This window comes from Homo sapiens, chromosome X, assembly GCF_000001405.40.
Source record: "Homo sapiens chromosome X, GRCh38.p14 Primary Assembly".
NCBI classification, from domain to species: domain Eukaryota; kingdom Metazoa; phylum Chordata; class Mammalia; order Primates; family Hominidae; genus Homo; species Homo sapiens.
In genome coordinates, this window is record NC_000023.11 from 53,355,951 (window position 1) to 53,382,400 (window position 26,450).

The 26,450-nt window shown below is 45.0% G+C and overlaps 1 protein-coding gene and 1 long non-coding RNA gene across 3 annotated transcripts in view; both read right to left on the bottom strand.

Moving 5' to 3' along the window:
• Positions 1 to 5,572: 5,572 nt before the first annotated feature.
• On the bottom strand, positions 5,573 to 14,830 carry LOC124905191 (uncharacterized). Its single transcript, XR_007068243.1, has 2 exons — positions 8,259 to 14,830; positions 5,573 to 5,759 (listed from the first exon to the last, which is right to left on the bottom strand). It is a non-coding gene; the product is annotated as an uncharacterized LOC124905191 (long non-coding RNA).
• SMC1A (structural maintenance of chromosomes 1A) overlaps positions 18,199 to 26,450 on the bottom strand; it is a 48,580-nt gene continuing 40,328 nt past the window's right edge. For both annotated transcript variants that reach the window (NM_001281463.1, NM_006306.4), the window contains 4 exons: positions 26,282 to 26,433; positions 25,068 to 25,137; positions 24,670 to 24,780; positions 18,199 to 24,236 (listed from right to left, as the gene is read on the bottom strand). In NM_001281463.1, the coding sequence (NP_001268392.1) occupies positions 24,153 to 24,236; positions 24,670 to 24,780; positions 25,068 to 25,137; positions 26,282 to 26,433 (417 nt within the window). In that variant the 3' untranslated portion in view covers positions 18,199 to 24,152. The remainder of the gene's footprint in view (positions 24,237 to 24,669; positions 24,781 to 25,067; positions 25,138 to 26,281; positions 26,434 to 26,450) is intronic.

The following is a 26,450-nucleotide window of genomic DNA, read 5'->3' on the forward strand; positions in this document are numbered from 1 at the left end:
ATAATTTCTTCTCTCTCTTCTACCTTGACAGCTATTTCTCTAAGACCCAGGTTCCAGGCACGACTTCGCCATTAACTACCCTGTTGTCCAAAGGGAATACTGAGAGGACGACACAATGTGAAAAGTGACGGAGTTGATCAGAGTTGGGCGCCCACCACATCGGTACTTAGCTGTGTAGCTTTGACAAGTCACCTAAGTCTCCCTGTGCCTCAGTTTTCTTACCTATAAGGGGGAGGGGAAATAATATCACCTACCTCATAAGGCCCTCACTTTCTATCCGCACTTCTCTTCTACCACGGCTCCCTGCTCAAGACCTATCTGGTTTGGGATCCTCGGCCACCTTACTCTGCGTCAGCTGACACAAGCCACGCCCCCATAAACCACGCCCCGGGGCGGAGGGAAAACTGTTGCTAGGCAACAAGTGACGTCACGCAGGCCCTCGGGCTAGAGTGCACAATCACAGAACTGAAAACAAATTTCATTCGTCATCCAACCATTCATGCTCCTGGATTCCTTCAATGCATATTCGCCGCCCCTTCCTTTTGGGACCATCCAGGTGCTGGGCTTTGCTGAAGACAGAATTCCTGCCCTCAGGGAGCTTCCTATCTGAAAGGAGAGAGAGCCCCAGACAACAGTTCTGCACGGTACAGGAGCAGAGGGGCGCTGTGGGAGCCCAGATGACAGGATCTCATCCAACTTGGGAACAAAGATAGGCTGCGTGAATAAAGTGACACTTCAACAGCTGAATTAATGGGGTTTGGGTGTCAGTGTGAAAGGCCTTTCATGCAGAAGACATTGCAAAGACACCTGGGGGGAAAAAAAAACTGGTGCAGTCTAGGAAGCACTTGTAGTTAGTTGCACTTATAGTTATGTGCTCAGTGGTCAGAGCACAGGGTGTGAGGCCAAGAGTGGCAGGTGATGAGACTCAAGAGGTCTGGCAGGGGCCAGAACTTATGTGACCTTAATGACCTATCAAGCAGCTAGACTTTACCCTGTGGGGTATGGAGTGTCATAGAAGGAAAGGTTGTGTTGACTAGCATCAATGCCCTCTTACTGCTGATGTGCCAAGTATTAGGTTGAAAATGGCCAGTCTGGAAGCCAGGGAGTAGATTTGGGGTCATTCATGTGAGGGATGTTGAGGCTGGAACAGGATAGTGGCAGAAGATGAGGAAAGAAGGTAGATTTGACGTACAGAAAGGAGAGACTCAACTGGACTTGGTGAGGAATCAGCTATGAGGAGACAGGAGGATTTTAGGCTGCACATAAGGCAGAGAACACAGAGGAAATTGCACAAGTTTAAGGGGGTGATTAAGACAAAGATAAGTGCCAGAGGAACTCTGAGGGCTGAGAAATCAGTGTGGGATAGAATGGGCAGAAACATGTAAAATGAGGAGGATCATTATGAGGAGGAGGGATTCGGGCTAAGACTCACTGTGTGACTTTGGACCAGTCACTATCTTTCTCTGGTCCTTTAGGTTTCCACCTGCTAAACTGGGAGATGGAGAATGATAATTGGGAGGAATGAATTACATAAGAGAATGTTCAAGAAATGCCTAGCCCTGTAGGCAATATGGATGGGAAGCATGTGGCAGGTTTGTTTGGTCCAGGGTGGGGTGGGGCTGGGCTGCCATTTGGGCAACAGCGATGCCACAGGCAGGAGGACACACATACATGCAGAAAAAAGAGGGCGCAGGGAAGGGGAAATGTGACCTGGGCACATGCATGTTGGATTTGAGGAGCTCAAAGGCCAAGGCAGTCAGAAGCCAAGGCAGTCAAATCAATGCTACTCTGGGAGGCCCTGTCTTGGCAGTTAGCAGAGAGGGGCTTCTCTGGACTGTGACTCCTAGACTGCCACTTCCTCAGGAAATATCCAGGTCTGCAAGGCCCGAGTCCTCTGGGTTTTGTTCCCAAGTCACCACCAGAATTGCTGTGTGAAGCTGAGTCTGTTCTGAACCACTCTGGGTCCAGGTTCCTCATATGAACAACACAAAAAGGCATGTGTGTGTTGGTGGGGAGGTGGACGAAACATTTCCAAAGGTCCCCTCCTGGTTTGTTATGCTTCAGTTCCATGGCCCTAAGTCCTTTTTAGAAAAGTCTAGACCTGTCTCTGACTTGCTGTGTGGCCTTGAGCCAGCTGCTGGACCTCTCTGGCCCTATTTTCATATCTGAAATATTAGGAGATTGGGGAGGAGAGTCTCCAACGTCCAATGATTCTCCCTAGAGGACGCTCACCCTCATCTCCAGCTGAAAGCTTCAGACAAATCAGAGGAAAGTGAGGCGCTGGTCACAGACCACCCCCCTTCCAAATCTTCCATCTTCTCCCACTGCCCTCCCCTCCGCACTGTCAGGAGCTTGCAGCACTGGCTTGCTTGCCAAACTTGTTGCCATGACAACGGGTTACAAATAACTCAGATGCAGACGAAGATTTTAACCCAAGAGCTGCTGGGCCAAGGGCTTCTTGCTCCCTCCTCAGACCAGACTGAGGGAACAATCTGATAGATTCTCACAAGATGGTCAAGGTTTCTCAGTGTCACAAGAAGAAGTCCTGGCATTCCAGGCCCTCCAAAACCCTGATTCAAATCTTTCCAATCACATTTGCCACTTGCTTCCATTAAAAAGCGATCACTCCAAAAAAATTAGCCAGGCGTGGTGGCACGCGCCTGTAGTCCCAGCTACTCGGGAGGCTGAGGCAGGAGAATCTCTTGAACCCGGGAGGCAGAGGTTGCAGGGAACTGAGAAAAAGCCACTGCACTCCGCCTGGGTGACAGAGTGAGACTCCGTCTCAAAAAAAGAAAAAAAAAAAGTGATCACTCCTATTTTTTTGACACCTACTGTATACCAAGCCCTGTGTTGGATGCTTTACATACAGTATCTAAGGAAATCTTCCCAGCACTCTATCAGGTAGACATGACTATTCTACCTGGGACTATATTTTATCTGGAACATTATTTTATAGAGAAGAAAATCGAGGCCCATGGATATGAATTGAGCAAGGAGGTCCAAAGACTCAGAATTCGGACGGGCGCGGTGGGTCATGCCTGTAATCCCAGCACTTTGGGAGGCCGAGGCAGGTGGATCACCTGAGGTCAGGAGTTCGAGACCAGCCTGGCCAACATGGTGAAACCCCGTCTCTACTAAAAATACAAAAAAAATTAGTTGGGCGCAGTGGCGGTTGCCTGTAATCCCAGCTACTTGGGAGGCTGAGGCAGGAGAATCGCTTGAACCTGGGAGGCGGAGGTTGCAGTGAGCCGAGATCACACCATTGCACTCTAGCCTGGGCGACAAGAGCAAAACTCCGTCTCAAAAAAAAAAAAAAAAAAAGGAGTCAGAATTCAAACCCAAACCCATCAGATTCCCAAACCCAGGCTTTTTCTATTGCCAATGGTTCACGAATGTTGGTCTACAGACTTGGTGTATCCAGAAAATCTGGAGCAGTTAAAATTCAGATAGTACTGCCGTTCAAGAAGGTGGAATGCATTTGTTTTCTCTAATTCCTAAGACTCCACAAAATAAAAAGATCAAGGGTATAAACTCACAACTCCAAAGAAAACTGGAGGAGCTCCCATCAATGGGAGAGAGATTTCAACAACTTTCTGGCAAGCAGAAAGGGGGCGGGAGGGGTGGTAACTGAGAAGGCAGTGCAGGGGAAGGAATGAGCAGAGTCCACATGTGGGAAGGGATCCACCGGGAGAGAGCTCATCTACCCTGCCAAATCCTGGAGAGGTGCAGTAAAGGTATCCTGATGTGGGAGCAAGACATAAAGCCTCAAACATAATTGAAAGTGTGTGTTGGAACGGTTAATCTCCCCCAACTCAATGTTGGAACAGTTAATTTCCTCCTTATCTCCCCCATGCTCATGGGTAGAAATCACAGCAGCCAACAAGTCTCTACACTCCAGCAAAATATCAGCGGGTTCTCCAAAGAAACCAAACAGTCCCAAAGCAAAGGCCTCTATTTTCGGTACTTAGGGGTCCTCCAGCAGATTGTACAGGTCCTTACTCAGTCACTTTAATGGGACTTGACAAACACCTGCCCTTACACAGGGCTCCAAATCAATCAACTTTTTATTTATTTTTAAAATAGAGACCAGGTTTCTCCGTGTTGCCCAGGCTGGTCTCAAACTCCTGGGCTCAAATGATTCTCCCACCTTGGCCTCCCAAAGTGCAATGATTACAGGTGTGAGCCACCATGTCCGGCTCAACTTTTTATTGTGTTCTTCTTAAATCAATGGGCCAGGCTGGGCACGGTGGCTCACGCCTGTAATCCCAGCACTTTGGGAGGCCGAGGCAGGGAAATCACCTGAGGTCAGGAGTTTGAAAGCAGCCTGGCCAACATTGTGAAACCATGTCTCTACTAAAAATACAAAAATTAGCCGGGCATGGTGGCAGGCACCTGTAATCCCAGCTACCTGGGGGAGGCTAGGGCATGAGAATCGCTTGAACCCAGGAGGTGGAGGTTGCAGTGAGCCAAGATTGCGCCACTGCACTCCAGCCTGGGGGACAGAGCGAAACTCTGTCTTAAAAAAAAAAAATCGGCCGGGCGCGGTGGCTCACGCCTGTAATCCCAGCACTTTGGGAGGCCGAGGCGGGCGGATCACGAGGTCAGGAGATCGAGACCATCCTGGCTAACACGGTGAAACCTCGTATCTACTAAAAAATACAAAAAATTAGCCGGGCGTGCTGGCGGGTGCCTGTAGTCCCAGCTACTCCGGAGGCTGAGGCAGGAGAATGGTGTGAACCCGGCAGGCGGAGCTTGCAGTGAGCCGAGATCCACGCCACTGCACTCTAGACTGGGTGACAGAGCAAGACTCCGTCTCAAAAAAAAAAAAAAAAAATCAATGGACTGATAGGTTTGAACATTTGTGAAGAAATATGCTAATAGATTTATGAACGAACGGATGAAACAAATGGGAAAAACTAAGATTAGGCACATTTCCAATGTGGAAAAAGTCCAAGCAATTATTAAAATCAGGAATATAAAAAAATGAAAAAAAAGGTAATTATAGTATACTTCTTGGCTCTGTAGTGACTACTGATTTACTAGGAGTTTGGATATAAACATATTGGAAGAATGAAGGGAGGGAAAGTAGGGTGTGTGTGTGGAAGAGATAGAAAAGAGGTAAATCCTGTTCTACCATAAGATCTCAAGAGATAATGTCTCAGATTGCTAAGTTAAGAAATAATGGTGGCCAGGCACGGTGGCTCATGCCCGTAATCCCAGCACTTTGGGAGGCTGAGGTGGGCGGATCACTTGAGGTCAGGAGTTCGAGACCAGCTTGGCCAACATGGTGAAACCCTGTGTCTACTAAAAATACAAAAATTAGCTGGGTGTGGTGGCAGGCGCCTGTAATACCAGCTGCTCAGGAGGCTGAGGCAGGAGAAATGCTTGAACCTGGGAGGTGGAGGTTTTAGTGAGCCGAGATCGTGCCATTGCACTCCAGCCTGGGCATTGCAGCGAGACTCTGTCTCGAAAGAAAGAAAGAAAGAATGATATAAGCATATGACAAGGAACCATGGCGGTCCATCAAATAAAAATCATTTCAGCTACAAGTAACAAAAAACTCAACTGATAGTGGCTTAAACACATATGGCTTTATTTATTTTTTTAAGTTAACAGGAACTGTGGCATGGGTTCAGCTGCTCAATGATGCCATCAAGAAATTGGGCTCTTTCTGACTTTCTTCCTTCACATGTTGTCTTCTTCCTCGTGCTCATCCCCACATGGTCACAAGATGGCTGTCACAGCTCCAGACGGCTTGACTATATTCAAAGCAGAAAGAAAGAAGGGGACAACATCAGCTATTTGTGCCTCTGCTCAGAAAAGCAAATACTTTTTCAGAAGGCCCGCAGCAAACATCTCACTGGCCAAAGCCAGGTCACGTAGTCATCCTTAGCTGCAAGGGAGGCTAAGAAAGTATCTGGTTCTTCAGCCTCTGAGTGGGAGGTGGCAAGGAACAAGGGATTTGGAAGTAGTTGCCTCTAGGGAGCAGGACTTGCAGTGGGAAGGAGTAGGACAGGATATTGTTGGATTTTATTAGGCATCTCTTAGCACTGTTTTATTTTTTTAAGTATGTATATATATTCCTTTGATAAAAAATAAAAATTAGGCCATGTGTGGTCGCTCACACCTGTAATCCCAGCACTTTGGGAGGCCAAAGCGAGCGGATCACCTGAGGTCAGGAGTTCGAGACCAGCCTGGCCAACATGGTGAAACCCTGTCTCTATTAAAAATACAAAACTTAGCCAGGCATGGTGACACACATCTGTAATCCCAGCTACTCCAAAGACTGAGGCAGGAGAATTGCTTGAACCCAGGAGGCCGAGGTTGCAGTGAGCCAAGATTGCGCCACTGCACTCTAGCCTGAGCAACAGAGCAAGACTCTGTCTCAAAAATAAATAAATAAAATTAAATTTAAATTAAAAAATAAAGTGTTATGGTTTCTATGAAAAAAGAAATCTTAAAAATAAAAGCTGGTAATAGTTTTCTATCTCCAGAGCAAAGGATAGCAATTCATCTTGGAAGCAAACTTACCAGAATACGCTCTTTACTTAGACTGAGGTATCTCAGGTATCCACCTACTGATCTTAGAGAAAATTGTGCTATCACTATTAACCTGAATGTGGCTGGTGGAAACCAGGACAGCTCTGTACAGCAGTTAACATGGGTTGACTGTGGTTAGACAGTCCTGGTGCAATTTCCTGTCTGCCATTTATTAGCTCTGTGACCCTGGGCAAATGACACCCGGGAGCTTCATTTTCCTTGTTTATGAAATGAAAGTAACTCAAGTGCCTGCCACAGAGTAAGCACTCAGCAAATATCCACTATGATTAAAATGTTAAATGTTCTGTGTACTGATATAATCTGGGTGTCCTTTACAGTACTATGCTTCCACTGAGTTAATTTTTTATCCTAAACATGAATTGGGACTAGATTCATGTTTAGTCCCAATTCATGTTGGGACTAAAATGCCAAAGTGAAAATTGTTTGTTTTTGAGAGGTATGTGTGCATATTTTTTCTCAGGCCTTTGCTCACAGAAGATACCCCATTGGGACCACATCAGGAGACATGCAGGTTTGAAATGCTATGGACTCCTGTTGGAGGAAGCACTGTAAAAAGGAATGAGGCTGGATTGTTGGCCCTACTACATACATGGTTATTTAACTTTAAAACAACCTACTCTGTGACATGTGCTGCTGAGTACTGTGATGGTCTCTTATGGGCTACGGAGCCCAGATCACCACTGTGCGGCAGGTGTGTTAGAATCCCAGAAAGAAAATTGATATGGGGAGTGTTACATGGGAGCAGGAAATGCAGTTGGCCTGGGAGTGAAGAATGTGAAAATGGCCTCCTCTCTTTGATGCCATGGTGAGAGCTGGAGATCTGGATTGCAGGCAGGGAGCACATGGCGAGAACCATAGGGTGGTGGAAGACAATCTTGCCCACACATGGTATGAAACTGGGAGGTTATGGAGAGGGACAGCCAGTAGGCAGCCTCCCTCAGAAAGGCATAAGTGACCTTCTCCCAGAGAGGTTCTATCTGGTATCCTTTGAAATGTTTCCTGTCTGGCCTGATAATTATCTTCTGTTATCTGTAAGACGCCAGTAAAGTTCTATTAAGTACACATACACAGACGATACTTCATTCATAAAAAAAAGAAGAAAAGGATGCAATGAAAAGGCATCTTTGGAGAATAAGAATGCTGAGAAATGAAAAATGACTGCCAAAATAAAGGTGTCCAGTAGAAGATAAAGTCAAAACAAGGTCCCATAATATAGAATTAAAAAAACAAAAGACATGGAAAATACATATGTGAGAAGATAATCATCCAGGAAATCCAATATCCAACTAACAGGAGTTCTAGAAAGAACGGAGAAAGTAAGCAAAGAAATAAAACAGCAACTTCTCAGAGCAGGGGGACACAAGTCTTCAGATTGAAAGGGCCCACCCACCAGGTGCCCAGCAAAGTAGACGAGGGAAAACCCCACTGCTGGGCACATGATTGTGACATTTCAAAACACTAAGTATGAAGAAAAAAAAATTAAGCTTCCAGATGTAGAGAAAACAGGTTGCCAGCAAAGGAATGAGAATAATATTAGCATGTGACTTTTAATCAGTGACACTACAGGCTAAAGCAGTATCTTCAAAATTCAGAGGAAAAATTGTTTCTAACATAGAATTCTAAAGTCAAACTATCATTGGAATATGAAGGTAAAACAATGACTACATATTCAGATATGTAAAGACCCTAAAATTTACCTTTCTTAAGAAGTTACTCGAGGATGTTCTCCAACAAAATGTACGATGTGGCCAGGTGCAGTGTCTCACGCCTGTAATCCCAGCAATTTGGGAGGCTGAGGCAGGCGGATCAGGAGGTCCAGAGATGGAGACCATCCTGGACAACATGGTGAAACCCCATCTCTACTAAAAATACAAAAATTAGCCAGGCGTGGTGGCGTGCACCTGTAGTCCCAGCTACTCAGGAGGCTGAAGCAGGAGAATCGCTTGAACCCTGGAAGCAGAGGTTGCAGTGAGCTGAGATCGCACCACTGTACTCCAGCCTGGGTGAAAGAGCAAGACTCTGTCTCAAAATGGTGCAATCTCAGCTCACTGCAACCTCCATCTCCTGGGTTCAAGTAATTCTCCTGCCTGAGCCTCCCGAGTAGCTGGGATTATAGGCATGTGCCACCATGCCTGGCTAATTTTTTGTATTTTTAGTACAGACAGGGTTTCTCTATGTTGGTCAGGCTGGTCTCGAACTCCCAACCTCAGGCGATCTGCCTGCCTGGGCCTCCCAAAGTGCTGGGATTACAGGTGTGAGCCGCTGCACCCAGCCTAGAAAAGAGATTTATTATGAAGTTATCAGGTAGCTCACGGAAGTCTAGAGAATCAGGCTGAGAACATGGAGTGGGAGCGAGGAAGGCAGGCATCAGGAACCACAGCTAAGGGTCCACCATAAAAACAGCCTGGTTAGAATGCTGCTGTTGGCACTGCTCCCTGCACTGCTCCTACCAGTGGACCTTATCCTACTGGCACATGCCACTGCAAGGGAGCTCCAACCATCCTCACATCTGTTGTTTTGGTTTATTTGTTGTGGACTTCAGAGTTTAGTTAATCATAATCTGCAATTTATGGCACATTATGACCAGTTCACTGAAGGCTGCTCTTTTACTTTAGTTCTTCTTTTACTTTATCTTCTTCTTCTTCCCCATCAGTCCCTATCCTTACTCCCATTCTCCTGCCTAACTCAGTGAGCCTCTCCAGTGTAATTAACGTATGTATACTTTCAATCCGTCTTCCATATGTTTATTTATATGCATATCCATGAAAATACATAGTGTTGTTTTACATTTCTGTAAATGGAATTGTACTATAAATACTATTCTGTTTCTTACTTTTTTCTCTCAATGCTGGGGATTTTAGAGACCTATCCATGTGGCTATATGTAAATCTAGTTTATTACTTTTGTTTTGTAGTTTTCCATCGTATGAATATACAGTTTGTTTATCCTGTCCTATAGTGATGAACACCTGATTGCTTCTGATTCCTCACTACCACAAACAGTGCTGCAATGAACAACCTCAACTATATTTTCTTAGGACCTGTATGAGAATTTCTCTGGAATATATGCCCAGAAGCGGGATTACTGGGTTGTAGGGTATTCACATACTTAATTTCATGGGTGCTGCCAAACTCTCTCTGGAATACCTGTACCAGTTTACATTCCAACTCATGGTTGTCCTTTTCCTCACATCCTGATTCATCAGCACTTGATAATATCTGACTTTCTACATGTTACCATTCCTGTAGTGACTTCTCATTATTATTTTAATTTCATTTCTCTAATTATTGGCAGAGTTGAAAAAGCTCTTAATATATTCAAGTTTCCCCTTGTGTAAACTCAAGTTTCCCCTTCTATAAATTACTCTTCATATCCTATGCCCATTTTCCTATTGGGTTTACTATCTTCCTTATATATTCTCCTAATCTATCATCCTTTTGTTAATTTTGTATATTCCTGCCTTCTTTTTGTTGCTGGTTCCAGATTCAAGGCCATGAACAGAGTATTCAGCCCTTGTTGCCTGGCGGGCTGGGAAAGAAAATATCTGACCACCATCAGTTTCCATAGTGGGAAATAGGGCCATGCCTCCCAATTTGGCAGGGATTCCCCCAAAAAACAGCATGGGAAATTAGATGCTAGAGAACAGTAGAGTTCGCTCCTTTGGTCATCCAACATCCACATATAGCCTTCCTCCCGTATTTATGCTTTTAAAAAAAGCTTCCACCTAATACGGTGCAAATATACCTCATATAACCAAACATGCACCCATCCCCTTTCCAGAGTGAGAAAACCAAAAACATAAATTAGAATGCTTTCAGGGACAAGCAATACAAAATCCAACTCAAACTGTCTTGAATAGTAAATGCAATTCATTGGCTCACTTAACTGAAGAGTCCACAGGCAGGGAGATTTCAGGCATGGCATGATCCGGAATATGGTTCCATTTCTGTGATTCTCTTGGCTCTGCCTCCTCCATTTTTCAGCTCCATCCTCAGGTAGGCCTTCCACATGTTCACAAGATGGCTAACAGCAGCAACCAGGCTACATGCTTCTTTGTTCTTATCCAAGGGAAGATAGGTCATCTCCTCCCTCAAAAGCTGAATAAAAGTCCTAAGCCTCATTGTGATTGGGTCATCCCTGAACCAGTCATCACTGTGGCTAGGAGGGTGAAATTACTCAGATCAGTTTATACCAATAAAGGCCTACACCTAGAGCTGGTGGTGGGGTCAATCCCACTCACATTGCATAGTTGTTATACAGCGGGAGAGGAGTGGAATGGATGCTGCAGAACAACTACAATGTCCACTACAAGGGAGTAAACTAAGAAAGAGGAAGATATGGGGTCCAAGAAAGATTGGGTCCAACCCAGAATAATGAAGGGACGTCCCAGGATGACAGCTGCACCGCAGGCCTACAGAGCAATCCGTCCAAATTGGAACAGGAAGACGGAGGACTCCAGGAAGAAGGTATCTGGGGAAAAAGGGGATTCAAATGATTTTATACTTTCCTTGAGACTTTGGAATAACTTAAGAAGGTGATAAAGTCAGACAATGCAAGGAAAAAAAGAAAGACAATTAGAAACTCTAAGGAAAAAAAGGTGTATAAGAAAAGCAATGTAATCCTAATATACTAATTGGATCTTTCTGGAACAATATTTACATAATCATAATAATGTAAACACTTTATTGCCCTTAAACTTTTAGAATGACCTACTGGCAAAGTATGGATGACTTAATTATGGTTATAGAACAAAGTGTAAATATTAACCTTGTTAATATAAAAGTGCAGTTGACAAGTTAAAAGAGAGAAAAGGGAGAGTAAGTCTATTAGTTAAAGGTAGAAAGATAAGGAATAGAGGATATATAATTAGTGACATGGCTATATTGGAGGCATGGGAAAGGCATTCGGGTGGTATAAATAGCAGGAAGTTAATAGAGAATGACTAAAATTGATCAATAAAAGTTGATAAATAGAAAAATCTGTATATTGGCTGAGCGTGGTAGCTCACGCCTGTAATCCCAGCACTTTGGGAGGGCAAGGCGGGCAGATCACCAGAGGTCAGGAGTTCAAGACCAGCCTGGCCAACATGGCAAAACCCCACCTCTACTAAAAATACAAAAATTAGCTGGGCGTGGTGGCGCATGCCTGTAATCCCAGCTACTCGGGAGGCTGAGGCAGGAGAATCGCTTGAACCCAGGAGGCAGAAGTTGTAGTGAGCCAAGATCGCACCACTGCACTCCAGCCTGGGCGACAGAGCAAGACTCCGTTTCAAAAAAAAAAAAAAAGAAAGAAAAAGAAAAATCTGTATATTATTTAGAGATATGAAGATAATTACTGGAAAAAAAAAAACCCAAACAGTTAAAAGTAGACTAGTAGATTTCCAGGTCAAGATGATAAACTTACCATGTGTTTTTCTCCACTTCCTCCTGAGACCCTGCTAAAATCATTGTAAAGGGATTAAAAAGGGTATAAATCCACAATGATGAAGAGAGTGGGAACAGGTCCATCAGCAAAAGAGAGATTTCAACAAATTTCTGGAAGATAGAAGTCAATGGAGGAATGGTGACTGATGGAGCATGGTGGAGGAAGCCACAGCCTGGAGTATGCATGGAGGTGATGCTTCAGAGGAAGAAGTTGCTCTTTCTCTGCAGAAGCCTGGAGTGTCTTGGTCTTGACAATGCCAGGTATGATAAAGGATGGGAGTCAAATGTGGGGCTGAAAATTGGGAGTTTAATGGGAAGGCTGCATATCAAACCATGAATCCCCCTCCCCCTCCCTTGTGCACAATTCACAGCAGCCAGGTGTCTACCCATTAGGCAAAAACCAGAGGGTTCTTCGCTAAGGCTATTGAACAACCTCAAAGAAAAGACGTTAGCATTCTGGCATTCAGGGACTCTGCAGCATAGCAAGTTAGCTCTCTAGTCATCCTAAAGGAAGGCCACCAGTTGCCTAGCCCTGCCCCCATATACAGAGCTTCTGATCAGATTTTTATTGCTACATTCTTAAATATCAGCAAACAACTATGGATCACTAAGCATTTGAGAAAAGACTGCAACTTGAAAGAGACCAAAATAAGTAAACAAGGGAAAAAATAATCCAAATGAAATAGATATTTCAAAGAACAGAAAGAAATATAAAAATATCTCTATTATTTTCAGATTCAAGGTGATAGTACATCCATAAAACAAGAACAGAATGCAATAAGAAAGGAAAAGAGAACAAGAGTGAATACTAAGAAATTTAAAATCTGATTGCCACATGAAAAGACATGCAATAGAAGGGTTGAAAGATAAAGTTAAGTCTTCTCTCAGAAAGTAAACAAAAACAAAAGGAAGAGAGGGACAAAGCTAGGGAGGGAGGGAGGGAAAGAGGAAGGGAGCGAGAGATGGAAAATAGGAGAGTGGATAAAAAATTACAAAAGATAAATTCAGGAGATCTAACATCTAACATTAAGGATTTCCAGAAAGAGAGAATAAAGGAAATGGAATAAAGGAATAGATCAAAGACATAATATGTGAGAATTTCCCAGAGTTAAAAGACTTCAAAATGAAGGGATGTAACAAATGACCAGCACAATGAATGACAAAAGATCTGAAACCTAAACACATAATTTTTAAGTTTCAGAATACCAAGAATACAATTCTTAAAAAATAACAGGAGGCCAGGCACAGTGGCTCAAGCCTGTAATCCCAGCACTTTGGGGGGCTGAGGCGGGCAGATCACCTCAGTTCAGGAGTTCGAGACCAGCCTGGCCAGCATGGTGAAACCCCGTCTCTACTAAAAATACAAAAATTAGCTGGGTGTGGTGGCAGGCGCCTGTAATCCCAGCTACTTGGGAGGCTGAGGCAGGAGAATCGCTTGAACCCGGGAGGTGGAGGTTGCAGTGAGCCGAGATCGCGCCATTGCACTCCAGCCTGGGGAACAAGAGCGAGACTTCGTCTCAAAAAAACAAACAAACAAACAAACAAACAAAAAAAACAAAAACAAAAATCAGGAGGAGGGATGGATGGAGTAGAAGTACTTTTCCCTATGCTTCCCACCAAATACAGCTAAAATTGAACTTGGACATTATGTATAAACATAAAATTCTGAAAGGTGGATAGAAGGCGACAAACTGGGTAGGGAACTTGGTAGCAGAGAAGTGACATACTGGTGAGTTCCCTGAGTTTGTTTTTTGTCTCATATATCCCAGACTTAGGGCTGGAGAAGCCAACAATTAGATAATAACTGCTCTAACACCACAGAAGAAAGCTGTAGTCCCACTCCCATCCACCAGCAAAGGCCAAGAGGGAAGCTTAGACTTCCACACTTGCTAGCTGTAAGTGGTTGCCCCTCTCCCTTTCTGCTGGGGTGGTGTCAGAGAAGGTTGCACGGGCAGCTGGAACTCCCACTCCCACCTAGCAGTAACTAGGAAACCCTCCTGGTGAGGTATCAATAGAGAGTGAGTGGGGAATCTGGACTTCTACTCCCACCTGGCAGTAATGAGGCAATGTGCCCTCTCCCTTGCCAGAGTGGTGTCTGAGGACGCAAGCTAAAACTGAGTATTTAAATAAGATCCAACGTCTCACAACACAATACCAAAAATGCCCAGTTTCAATCAAAAATCACTCATCAAACCAAGAACTAGGAAAATCTCAACTTGAATGAGAAAAGATGCTCAATAAACACCAACATTGAGATGACAGAAATGTTAAAATTATCTGACAAGAGCTTTTAAGGAACTATCATAAAAATGCCTCAACAATTTGCTTAAACATGCTTAAAACAAGTAGAAACTGTCAGCAAAAAAATAGACGATATAAAGAACCAAATCAGAATTTTAGAACTGAAAAATACAAAAAAATAAAAACCTCAACAGATAGGCTAACAGCAAAATGGAGAGGGCAGAGGAAAAAAATCAACAATCTTGAAGATAGAACAATAGGAATTACTCAATCTAGAAAACAAACGGGGGGTTGGGGGGCAGGAATGAACAGAGCCTCAAGGACCTGTGAGGCTATTATAAAAGATCTAACATTTGTGTCACTGAGGTCCCAAAAAGAAGAGAAAAAGTGATGGGGAAAGTCAATTATAAAACAATGAGACTCAGACTGCTATCATGCATCTTATCATCAAAACTGAATGCTAGAAGAAAGTGAAACAATGCCTTCAAAGTTCTGTGGGAAAATGACATTGCTCTTCAAACTTTATAGCCAAGTGTGAGGATGGAATAAAAATATTTTCACCATCCTGGCTAACACGGTGAAACCCCGTCTCTACTAAAAATACAAAAAATTAGCCACGCGTGGTGGTACGCACCTGTAGTCCCAGCTACTCAGGAGGCTGAGGCAGGAGAATCGCTTGAACCCGGGAGTTGGAGATTGCAGTGAGCCGAGATCGCACCACTGCACTCCAGCCTGGGCGACAGAGTGAGACTCTGTCTCAAACAAACAAAAAATATTTTCAGACATGCAAAAACTCAGGAAGTCTACTTCCTATACAACCTTTCTGAGAAACTTACTTGATGATGTGCTCCATCAAAACAATGGAACAAGCAAACAAACAAAACAAAAACCTTGGGAACCAGCAAACAGTGGATATAACCATAGAAAGCAGTGACAAGAAGCCACAAGATGACAGCTATGCATCAGACCTTAGAAAGCAACTAGTGAAGATTTGAAAAGGAGATTGAGGGCTCTGGGAAGGTCTCCCAAGGGGCAAAAAGTAGACTTGATGGAATTCCTAATGGAGATTTTGAAAAAAAAAAAAAAAAAAAAAAAAAAAAGGAATATATGATAAAGAGGAAAAACAGAATTAGAAACTTCAGAAAAAATAGAAAGCTGCTACAAGGAAAAAGTATTAAAAAGTACATTGCTTTGCTCTGCAATGAAGAATACATAGTCATATTAACAGCAGTTTATTGCTTTTCAACTTTTAGAACCCAACTATAGACAAACATAAAAAAACTCAATTATGATTACAGAACAGAATTTAACATTATGTTTTGACAATATAAAAGACCAGATGACAGAAGTTGGGAGGTTAATGGTGCGGAAGGGGGCTATAGGAAAGGGTATTCTCTCATCTAACAAAGTTCTAGTTTAGAAATATTGTCTGTAGTTCATGGAACAGGAAATAAAGGCATTACTCAATAACCCACAGAAAAACTAAACTATACTAGAAGCAGGACGGAGTTGAACTTGCTGTAAATGATCTAAATCCTCATTTCTCATAGCAGGACATCAATGGGTAATGTCTGAAAGTAATGATTTTTTAAATGCCCACATATTATGTAGGTATGGAGATAAAAATCAGAATAAATAACTAAAAGTGGTGGCAAAAAGTGAGAGTGGGGGTGGGGATGTGTGGGGCAGTAGACTTTTGCTTTTCACGAGTCCGTCTGTAGTGATTTGACTTTACTGATTTGAGTTTTCTAAATAAGGTACATGGATTACTTCTATTTTAAAATGAGAAAAAAAATTTTAAAAAGGACACTCCTGCCCACAACCCTCCTCCCCCCAAATTCCCTTATCCCTCCAGACCTACTGTAGCAGAATATAATAAAGTTTGGGAAACCCTGCAGTCTCTCTTCCTGCTTCTCCCTTAGGTGAAGCCTCTTTGCTTTAGTCAAAATGGAATATTTGTTAGCCCAAACAGGGCATATTTATTCCCACCTTCTTGTTTTTATGTCCCCCAGGCCTGGAAAGCCTTTCCTCCTTATCTCCACCAGTTGGAATCCTCCCTTTTAAAAAGGCTCACCTCAAATTCCACCTCCTCCAAAAGTCTTCCTTGTCCCCTGGTAGAACTCTCTCTCCCCTTGGGGGTTCCTACGAGTCTTCATTTATGCCTCTGATTATGACAATTAAATGTACTTTTTTTTTTTTTTTTTTTTTGAGATGGAGCCTTGCTCTGTCGCCCAGGCTGGAGTGCAGTGGCGTGATCTTGGCTCACGGCAACCTCCGCCCCCTGGGCTCAAGCAAGTCTTCTGCCTCAGCCTCCCTAATAACTGGGATTACAGGCATGCGGTACCATGCCCGGCTAATTTTTGTATTTTTAGTAGAGACAGAGTTTCGCCATGTTGGCCAGGCTGGTCTCGAACTCTTGACCTCAGGTGATCCACCCGCCCTGGCCTCCCAAAGTGCTGGGATTATAGGGTGAGCCACTGCGCCTGGCAAATGTACTTTTTTCAAGTACTGTTTTTTTTTTTTTTTTTTTGAGATGGAGTCTTACTCTGTTGTCCAGGATGGAGTGCTGGGTTCAAGCAATTCTCCCACCTCAGCCTCCCGAGTAGCTAGGATTACAGGCGCACGCCACCACACCCGGCTAATTTTTGTTTGTTTTTTTGAGACGAAGTCTCACTCTTGTCCCCCAGGCTGGAGTGCAATGGCGCAATCTTGGTTCTCTGCAACCTCTGCCTCTCGGGTTCAAGCGGTTCTCCTGCCTCAGCCTCCCAAGTAGCTGGGATTACAGGCGCCTTCCACCACACCCAGCTAATTTTTGTATTTTTAGTAGAGATGGGGTTTCACCATGCTGTCCACGCTGGTCTCGAACTCCAGACGTCAGGTGATCCACCCACCTCAGCCTCCCAAAGTGCTGGGATTACAGGCGTGAGCCACCGCGCCTGGCCTAATTTTTGTATTTTTAGTAGAGATGGGGTTTCAGTACGTTGGCCAGACTGGTCTCAAACTCCTGACCTCAGGTGATCCTCCCGCCTTGGCCTCCCAAAATGTTGGGATTACAGGCGTGGGCCACCGCACCCAGCCTGAAGTACATTCTTTAGGTCAGTGTTTCATGCCCCCAACCTTCTTTCACCCCAGCTACCAGAGTGGTCCTCCTAAATACCAATCTGGCCCGGTTAGTCCCTTGCTTCAAACCTTTCTACAGCTTCCCATTGCTCAGAGTCAAAGCTAAGCTTGACTGCTTGGATTCCACCACTTCTCTCACTGCATGGGTGATGCCCCATTCCCCCTGAAATCCATGCACTTTCACCCTCTTGATTTAACTGTGCTTAGGCAGCTCCTCTGCTTGGAATGTTTTTTCCTCCCTTTCCAAGTGGTAAGCACTCATTCCTCTTTCAAGACTCAGTTCAAGTGTACCATCCTCTATAAAGGCTTTCCCACCCCAGGGAGAACCACCTAATACTTCCTATATGCTCACTTTGCCTCACCTAGACGTCCATTATATCATCTTCCACACTTAGTGTGCTTAACCACTTACTTATCTGAGTTCCCAATTAAGCCAAGAATTCCTGGAGGGCATGTATATCTAATTCCCAGAACCTAGCACAGGGCCTGACACATGACAGGAATTTAACATATGCCTGCTGAACAAATGGATGGAAAAATGATGCATGAGTGAATACAGGAAAGAGCAAATGAACTGGTAAATGCTTACATTAATGCATTAATGAATAAGTGAGTGAAGTTGTGAGTTAGTGCATATATAAGGTAATAAATAAATGAGTGGATGAATGAATGATAAAAATAAGTAAGTGAATGAAAGGTGCCCATGCCAGTGAGGCAGGAAAGGATGAGTGAATTCCCACCTCTGTGTCTTGCTTCAACCCCACCAGGAAGACCTCTTGCCCTGCTTTCCTGTTATCTAAACTGCACACCAGTGTTAACCTTTTAGATTCCAAGGAACAAAGACACACACAGGTTAGTGATGGGGATTTATTAAAGCATTCACAGGGAAATAAGGAAGACAAGAACAGCTACACAGGCAGCCTCATGGAAGAACAGAAACTTGAAAATGGTTCATGATCCAAAGCAGCTCTAGAGCCTGGCTTATCTTGTCACCCCCTCAGCTGCAGGCATCTGTTGCTCCCTTCTCTAGTGCTTCCCAAATTGGTGACTCAACTCCTTTCTGGCTGTATTTATACTCCTCCTACTGCTACTGACTAACTTCTTTCTGCCCCCCTCGATGCTAGCCCATGGCTTTTTCTGCCTCATGGGTCCTGCAGCTTCATGGCTCCCGGCGCTTCAGTTCCTATTAATCCATGGCTTTTCTGCATTGTAGCTCCTGCTGCCTCTTCCATTCCTGTTGCCATGTTGCCACATGGTTCTGGCTACCTTGTGGTTCTTGCAGTCTCATCGCTTCTACTGTCTCATGATCTTATCTATTCAAGCCTTCTGCTGCTTTGTGGATCTCATAGTCAGTTTTGTCTCACGGTTTCTGTTCCTCGTGGCTCCTATTGCTTCATGGCTTCTAGCCCATTGTTGCCTTGCTGCTTCATGGCTTCTGCCACCCTGTGGCTCCGTGATCTCATTATACAAATGTCTCATGACCTCTGCTTACTTATGGTTTCTGCAGCTTTCTCTTTGCTTTTGCTGTTTAGTTTCTGGCCACCCCTCATCCACCACCACTAATGCCTCATTAAATTCTAATTAACGTTCACTTCTTCTGAATAGCTCACATTCTGCCTCCCTGAAAGATCTGGTTGTTTCATACATTTGCCATTTGATACATGCCACCCCTGTAAGGTGAAGTCCTTATGCCAGTCCAGCTAACAGGCCACTGGCCAGCCTAGAGATTGGTTGCCCTTGAACCAGACACTATCCACATCTAGCTATCTGTGGCCAGGATTGTGAGGTCACATGGTACAGAGCATGGCAACTTATGCTAAGGAAACCCCTTAGAAGGGACTGCAAGCATGGCAGGTTTGCTAAGGGTTTCCAGAAGGGGGCAGTGTAATTGGCAACCATCTTGTTTGACCTGTCCAATACATTGACCTTCAAGGTTCAACCTAAGTCCCACCTTCTCCCTGACCACCTCTGCCTGTCCTGATCTACAATGGGATAGATCAAGATCAAGACTCCAGAGATGACATAGAAAGGAAACCTAGCTTCCATTTCTGGCTCCAACACTTCCTAGCAGTCGGACCTTAGGAAGTTAATTCCCCTCTGAGGACCTCAGAAGGGGTTTGGGCAGTCTTCCCTTACAAGTCTGACATTCTGGGTATCTCACTATAAGTTATTGTATAAGAGATGTGACTCTTACCTGGGAAAGCCCTCAAAAACATCTCTTGAGGTAGGAAAGAGGGAGTCAGAGTCCTGGCTTGGAAGAGCCTTACTGCACACTGGAGGTGCTTAGCCAAGATTTATTGAACTGGATGAATGAATCAATGGCTTGTGGAGGGGTGGGGAGTGGGGGGGCAGTGAGAGACCACACAGCACACAGAATGTCTAACTAACTTGAGGAATTCCAGTTGCTGAGGAGGATGTAAGCAGATTGTTTCAGAGATGGATAAGGAAAGAGATGACTGGGACAGGGTAGGAATCATGGCTATTCATGGGTACTCATTCTATCCTCTCAGTCACCCTCCACATCCAATAATCAGTCATTAAGTTATCATCTTACCTTAACAGTTCACACCTTAACACCTCCAATCTATTCCTACTGGCCTTTGCCCTAGTGCAGGCCTCCTGGTCTTTTTCCAGTCTCCTAGCTAATCTTGTCATCTCCATTCGCTCTCTCACAAATGGATTCACTCATGCATTCATTCATTCAAAAACTTTACTGGGTGCCTGTTTTGTGTCAGGCACTGTGCTTTTTTGCAGGGGCTATACTGGTAAGCAAAATATCCCCAGGCCCACCCTTGTGGTGCCTAAAGCTTATTCAGAGACAAAATAAGCAAATATAGTAGTGTAAGAAGCTGATTAACAGGGAAGCTACAGGCACGGGCACATACAGCATGAACATCTAACCTAATCTGTTTTCCATGCTGGTTGGCTAGCCAGCCAGAAACAGGTTAAGTTCACATCTGATCTGGAGTCCCCCTATTAAAAACCATTTCATGGCTCCCTCACTGCCTTCAAGCTATGGTTTCCAAATCTGGCTGTACCCTAGTCATGTGGTAACCTTTATAAGCATTCAAGATTCCAAATCTTCACCCCAGACTTAATGAATGTTTTAGGGGCCGGGGCCCAGAATGCCGTACCTGTTTGTGGTATACAGCCAGTTTGGGAACCACACTGTCCTACAAAACAAATCTGAATTCTGTAGCCATGCATTTACGACCCTCTTCCAATCTGGTTCCTCTCTACCTTTTCTTGCTGCTTTCCCCCCACCCCAGGAATCTTCATGCTTCAGTATTTGTTTTGCTGTTTCTTGCCTTCATGTCTTCATGCATACTGTTTCCAATATCTGGAAATTCCTTCTACTTCCTCAACTGGCTAATTCCTACCCGTCCCTCAAGACTCAGTTCAGGTATCACCACCTAGACTACAGGATGCCTTCTCTGAATCTTCACATAAGCTAGATGTTTTTCCTGTGCTCCTGTCAGTGTTGATCACACTGTATGGTTAATGGCTGTTTTACAAATGGTTTCCCCAACTAAACAGTGAGCTCCTCAAAGGCAGGATAAAGATTTGACTCATCTTTGTGTTCCTGGTGCACAACACTGTGATTTCCAGAGGGAAGTGCCCAGTTAAACTTAAGATACTGTTGTGGAGTACTCTTCAACTCCCTACAGCAAGGCTACTGCGTCCACAGTATAAGGGAGTCAAACTAGTTCCTCCAACAAGCCCTAGGGAATCTACTCGGATCCAGCTTGCTCTTGGAAACACTGTGGTGCCCAGCCTCCCGTGAGCATAGCCTTGACAACGGTTGCCCTGTGATGCCAGGAGGTGGTGGGGCACGACAGGAGAGAGCAGGGGGCAAGCACTAAATAGATCCGAGTGGAAGTCTAGGCTCTGCCACTAAACCAGTGGAATCTTGGACAAGTCACCTCACCTCCTGGATCCTCAGGACTTAAGTCCCCAAAGCTCCTTTGTAGCACATGTGTTCCTGTGTGCCAGGGCCTTAGCCTAAGGCATCTCATGTAATCCTTTTTATCCTGTGAGGTAGGGGTTAGTTATCTGGGTTATTATCCATGCTGGCTGAATCAGATTTCCAGAGGTGGGACCAGAGCAATTTATTTTTAAAGAGCTCCACATCCTTTGGATGTGGGGGTGCAAGCAGGGAACTGCTGCTTCTCATTATAAGCCCTTCTGTACTATTTTATTTTTTTACCTGTGTATATATTGCTTTACTTTTTAAAAAGGAAAAAGAAAAAGCTTTACAAACGATTCTGATGCGCAGCCAAGGTTGATAACCACCTGTACAGTGGAGAAAGCACTTGAATGACTTGGAAGACCTGGGTTCAAACCTTTTTGGGCCTCAGTTTCCTTATCTGTAAAGTGGGGAGAACAGCAAAGGTGACCTTTAAAGGGCTGTGAATGATCTAGATGCCAGCCAAATTGCTTCATATATATTTAATTTTCTCTTTGCTTCACTACTGCAAGGTAGGTGTTTATTATCTCCTTTTACAGATGTGGAAACTTAGGCTCAGAGGTGAAGTAACTTGCACAAGTTTCTACAGCTAGAATTTGAACCAGGTCTGACCCCCGAATTGTGCTCGTCCATAAAGGCCAGCATTTGCCAAATTATGGCACACAGTACCACCAGTGGTACGTGACTTCTTTGGTTGAAAACAGACAAATTTATTTTGTTTTGATAGTTATGTCTTTTAATATGTATTAGAAGAATACATAATTAGCACACATCAAACCTGTGATTTCACAGATATCACTACTTGGGATGAAAATGATATAGGATAACAATGTTAGACCTCAGATCAACCTCAAGAAAAATACTGAGTAAATAGTACAGGAGGGCAATTTGGAAGTATTATTAAAAACCAATATATAAATATCCTATGACTTTGCAATTCCACTTCTAGGAATCAACCCTAGGTAAACTTTCATACATATACTTTCACACAGGCATAGTGATGCTCCTGTGTAGTATTTTGTAATAGCAAAACCTAAAAACAGTCTTAATGTCCATCACAAAAGAAATGCGTAAGTAAAATGTGGTAATCATATGATGACAATCTATACAGCAATTACAGAAGATGGATTGAGCTACATTAAGTAACATGCACAGATCTCAAAAACATCGTTAAGCAAAGAAAACAAATTGCTAAACAATTCAATATATCATTTGCATTAAACACACAATATTTCCAATGAGTTCACATATGTACGTACAAGCATTAAAACAAAGTCTAAACGGAAGTACAACAAACAACAGCCACTAAGAAGGGAAGGATCAAGGAGTGGTTGGTAGCTGAATGAGACTATCTTTAACAATCTAACTTCTCAAAAGGAGAATGAATTCATGCATATTTGGGTAATTAGAATGGACTTAACTTTTAAAAAGCAATATACAGATTGGAATTAAAGTGTGATGGTGTATGTGAATGAGTAAAGGCTGAGCTCATCGCACCCGGCTTTGCTGCCTCTGCATGATCCTTATAGCTAATGAGGTTAGTTCCTAAAATGAACCTCACAGGTGTTAGGCTGGGATGTGGCCCAGGATACCTCTCCCCTATTTCCTCACAACCCAGATTGGGGCTCAGGCACCCGGTTACCAGACATGATTGAAGCTACAGGTTTCCTCAGGCCCTCCGCTTACCAGGTAGACCCCATCAGTGCCCTGAAACTTTCCCAGTCAGCAGGGCATTCAGCACCTTCCAGATTTGGAGGCTTCTTCTGTCCCTAATAGCTGGGATCAGAAGCTCTCAGGGGTCCAGGCATGAGGGTTATATTCTGAGGGGTCGGCACCTAGTGGGCTCCACGAAGGGATAAGGCCTCCAGTGAGGAGCTTGACATCATTAAATCCTATGAGGTAGGTAATATTGTTAGCCCCATTTTACAGATGAGGAAACTGAGGCACAGAAGGTCAAATGACTTGCCCAAGGTCAAACAACTAGTAAGTGATAAAAAGTGGGACCAGAACCCATAACTGTCTGTCCCCAGAGCTCATGCTCCACTCCTAGTGCCTGACCAAATCCTACCAATTTGTCAAGGTCTAGCTTAAATGTGACCTCCAGGAAGCCTAGAGGGGATCACCCACTTCTCAAATTCAAAGTACATATGACATTCAGCTAACTATAGTCATTCATGAACCCACTGTATCTCCTTACTAGGAGGGTAGAGATCATGTCTGATTCAACTCTGTATTCCAAGCACAGAGCCTGACAAATAGAGGGTGTTCGGTATGTGTCTGATGAATACATAAATGAATGAATACACAAATGAGTGAATGAAGGCAGTTTCAGGTAACTGCCTAAGACTCCTATGAGGTCCTGAGTACCTTTGCCCAGCTCAGGGGTGCTGTCATCCTAAGCTCTCTTGGAATCAAATTCAGCCTAGGCTCCTTCTAAAACAGGTCTCCAATATCCTTTATTATTTTGCAAACATACTCACATGCACACATGCGGATACATACATACACACATACATACCCACACACACAGTGGGCAAGAGGCCCAAGGGGCCCACGATTATGGGTGATGAGGGGGAGGAAGGGGGTGTGTGTGATGAACAGATGGCCCTGTTCAGCTCAGCACCTCCTTTCAGAGGCCAGAATACTCCCTGTCGTTCAGGAATTTTTGCTCCAGACCTAACATCACCTCTGTTCCTCTTCATGCTTGATTAGCAGTGCCTAAATCCCATGACTACACCAAAAAGGGCCAGGAGGTAGGGGGAAGGTTGGGAGTCAAATATCCAGAGATTGGGAGAGGGACAGCTTAGGGATCCAGACAGGGCGGGAGGGCAAAAATACTGCTACTGCTCATTGGGGTTGGGGTTGGCATCTGGGTACTTGGTGAGGTCGAAGGTCAGGACTTTGCTGATCACACAGTCCCCTTGCTGAAGGAGGAGGGAGAAAAAGAAAAATAAAATTGTAAGGAGAGAATTAAGAGGGGTCTAGTGCCCCAGGACCAGGGGCCTCAAACCCTCCTCCCTACATACCTGCCCAAAGCCCAGTCAATGGTTCTCTCTGGGTGTGAGAGGATATGCTCAGTCCCATGTGCCTTCGCTCCTTGCCTACTTCTGTACTCTCCTCCTTTCTCCACTGTCTGGCTGCCTCTGCCTGCCTTTCCACCTGTCCCCAAATGCAATGGCCCTGCCTGGCTGGGCTGGCTAAGCCTCCAGAGGCAGGGCTCCAACAAGCCCAAATGGCCATTCAGGACCTGATTCCCTATGCTCCCCCACCTCCTTTCCCCTCCACTGCAGCCTTCCTTTCCTGCCCTGGGAAATCAGGCAGGGAGTAGGACTGGCTCCTGAGCCAGGCCCGCCCTACCTCAGGATAGACTCCAATGAGGCTCTCGGCCTTGGTGTAGAACTCCTCCTTGAGAGAGATGACGATGGCCTGGAAGTTGCAAGTCGACTGCTCCTTGATGTAATTTGCCACCTGTGGGAAAGGCCGCCAGGCACTTAGCAAGGCTCAAACCTTAACAGTCCCCAGTATTTTCCAGCCACAACCAGAAGGCAGAAGAGGTAGGGTAGGGAGAGGAAGGTGGGGAAAAGAGAGGTTGAGAGGAGACTACTGACTACCACAGCATGGATGACTCTGGGCCCAGCCTCCCAGGCACAGAGAGCAGGCAGCAGGAACGGCTAGGGCACGCTCAGGAGTTGCTCCCTGAAACCCAACCCCGACCTGGGGGCATCCCTCCCAGGCCCCACTTTCTTTGCACCCACCTTGCCAATGTTGGTGTTATCCAAGGCAGCATCAATCTCATCCAGGACGAAGAAGGGGGCTGGCTTGTAGCTGGGAGGGAACCAGTAGGTGAGCTGACACTGAGGCGGGGAGGGGGTGGCAAGGCGGGGTGGGACAGCCCCAGGGCCCATCAAACAGGCCAGCTTCCCACTCCACTTCTTCAGAAACTAAAAAACCCAGGTCTCAAAGTTGCCTGAGCCCCTGAAAGCCAAGACATCAACAAAGCCCTCCCCTCTGCAATCAGCCCTGTGTTCCAGGTTCCTACAGAACCACAAGAAGACATGGTCCCCTCAGGAGCTTCCAGGCTGGCTGGGGAGCTAAAGCTGTCCAAGGTTCTAGTTGTAATGACCGAGCTACCTAGAGGTCCACCCCATTCCAACACATGCCATCACAGCATGCTTTGTCATGCCTCCTTGCCTCTGCACATGCTGCACCCTCAGCCTAGAATGCCTGCTGGTCTACCTGGCACACTTCTACTCATCCTTTACATCTCCTGCTCAAGTGGCACCTGTCATTAAAAGTCTTCCCTGGCCTACCCATACCCTCCCCACAGACTGGGTTAAGTGTACCTCCTCTGTGTATCCATCGCACCCATGCTCACCCGGTTACAACACTTAGCACATGTCTGTTTATGCATCTGGCTTCTACTAGACTGTGAGCTCCTCGAGGCCAGAGACCCTGTCTGATACATCTGTGTCCCTAATCCCTCCGCAGGGTCTGGTACAGAGCAGCACTCAAGAAATTGATGCTGTACAATCAAGCAATATAAGCTGCGGGAGTCAGACTCAAGTACTACTGGCATTCAGGAGGGGAAGGTCAGGGTATGCCACAGTGATCAAGGAGGGCTTCCTAAAGGGGAGGAGAATGAGGAAGGGTGAAGGGGTGAAAGGTGATGATCAAGCTAGATTTACATGGAAAGGGATTATTAGCCAGCAACCTCGTGAGCAAAAGCCTGGAGGCGGAACTAAATACATGCAGAGGCCGGTGAGGACATGCTGAGCAGATGAGGGTGGATGGGGAAGACAGGTCCAGAAAAACCAAAGCCAGATATGCTGCAGTAGATAGTGAAACAGGGATGCAATCCAGATTCCACCAAACCATCACCTTCGCAGATCTCTGTGTATCCTTGGGCCCCAGAGCCTCTGGTGGCCTCAGTTCAGTCTCTTCGTCAACTGCCCTAGGGGATCAGCCTTACCTGTGGATGGCAAAGAGCAGGGCCAGAGCTGCCACTGTCTTCTCCCCGCCTGACAAGTTGTCCATAGGCCGGAAGCGTTTCCCAGGAGCCACACAGTTGTAGTTGATGCCATCCAAGTAGGGCTCTTCAGGGTTCTCAGGGCCCAGGAATGCCTAGGGGAAGGCAGATG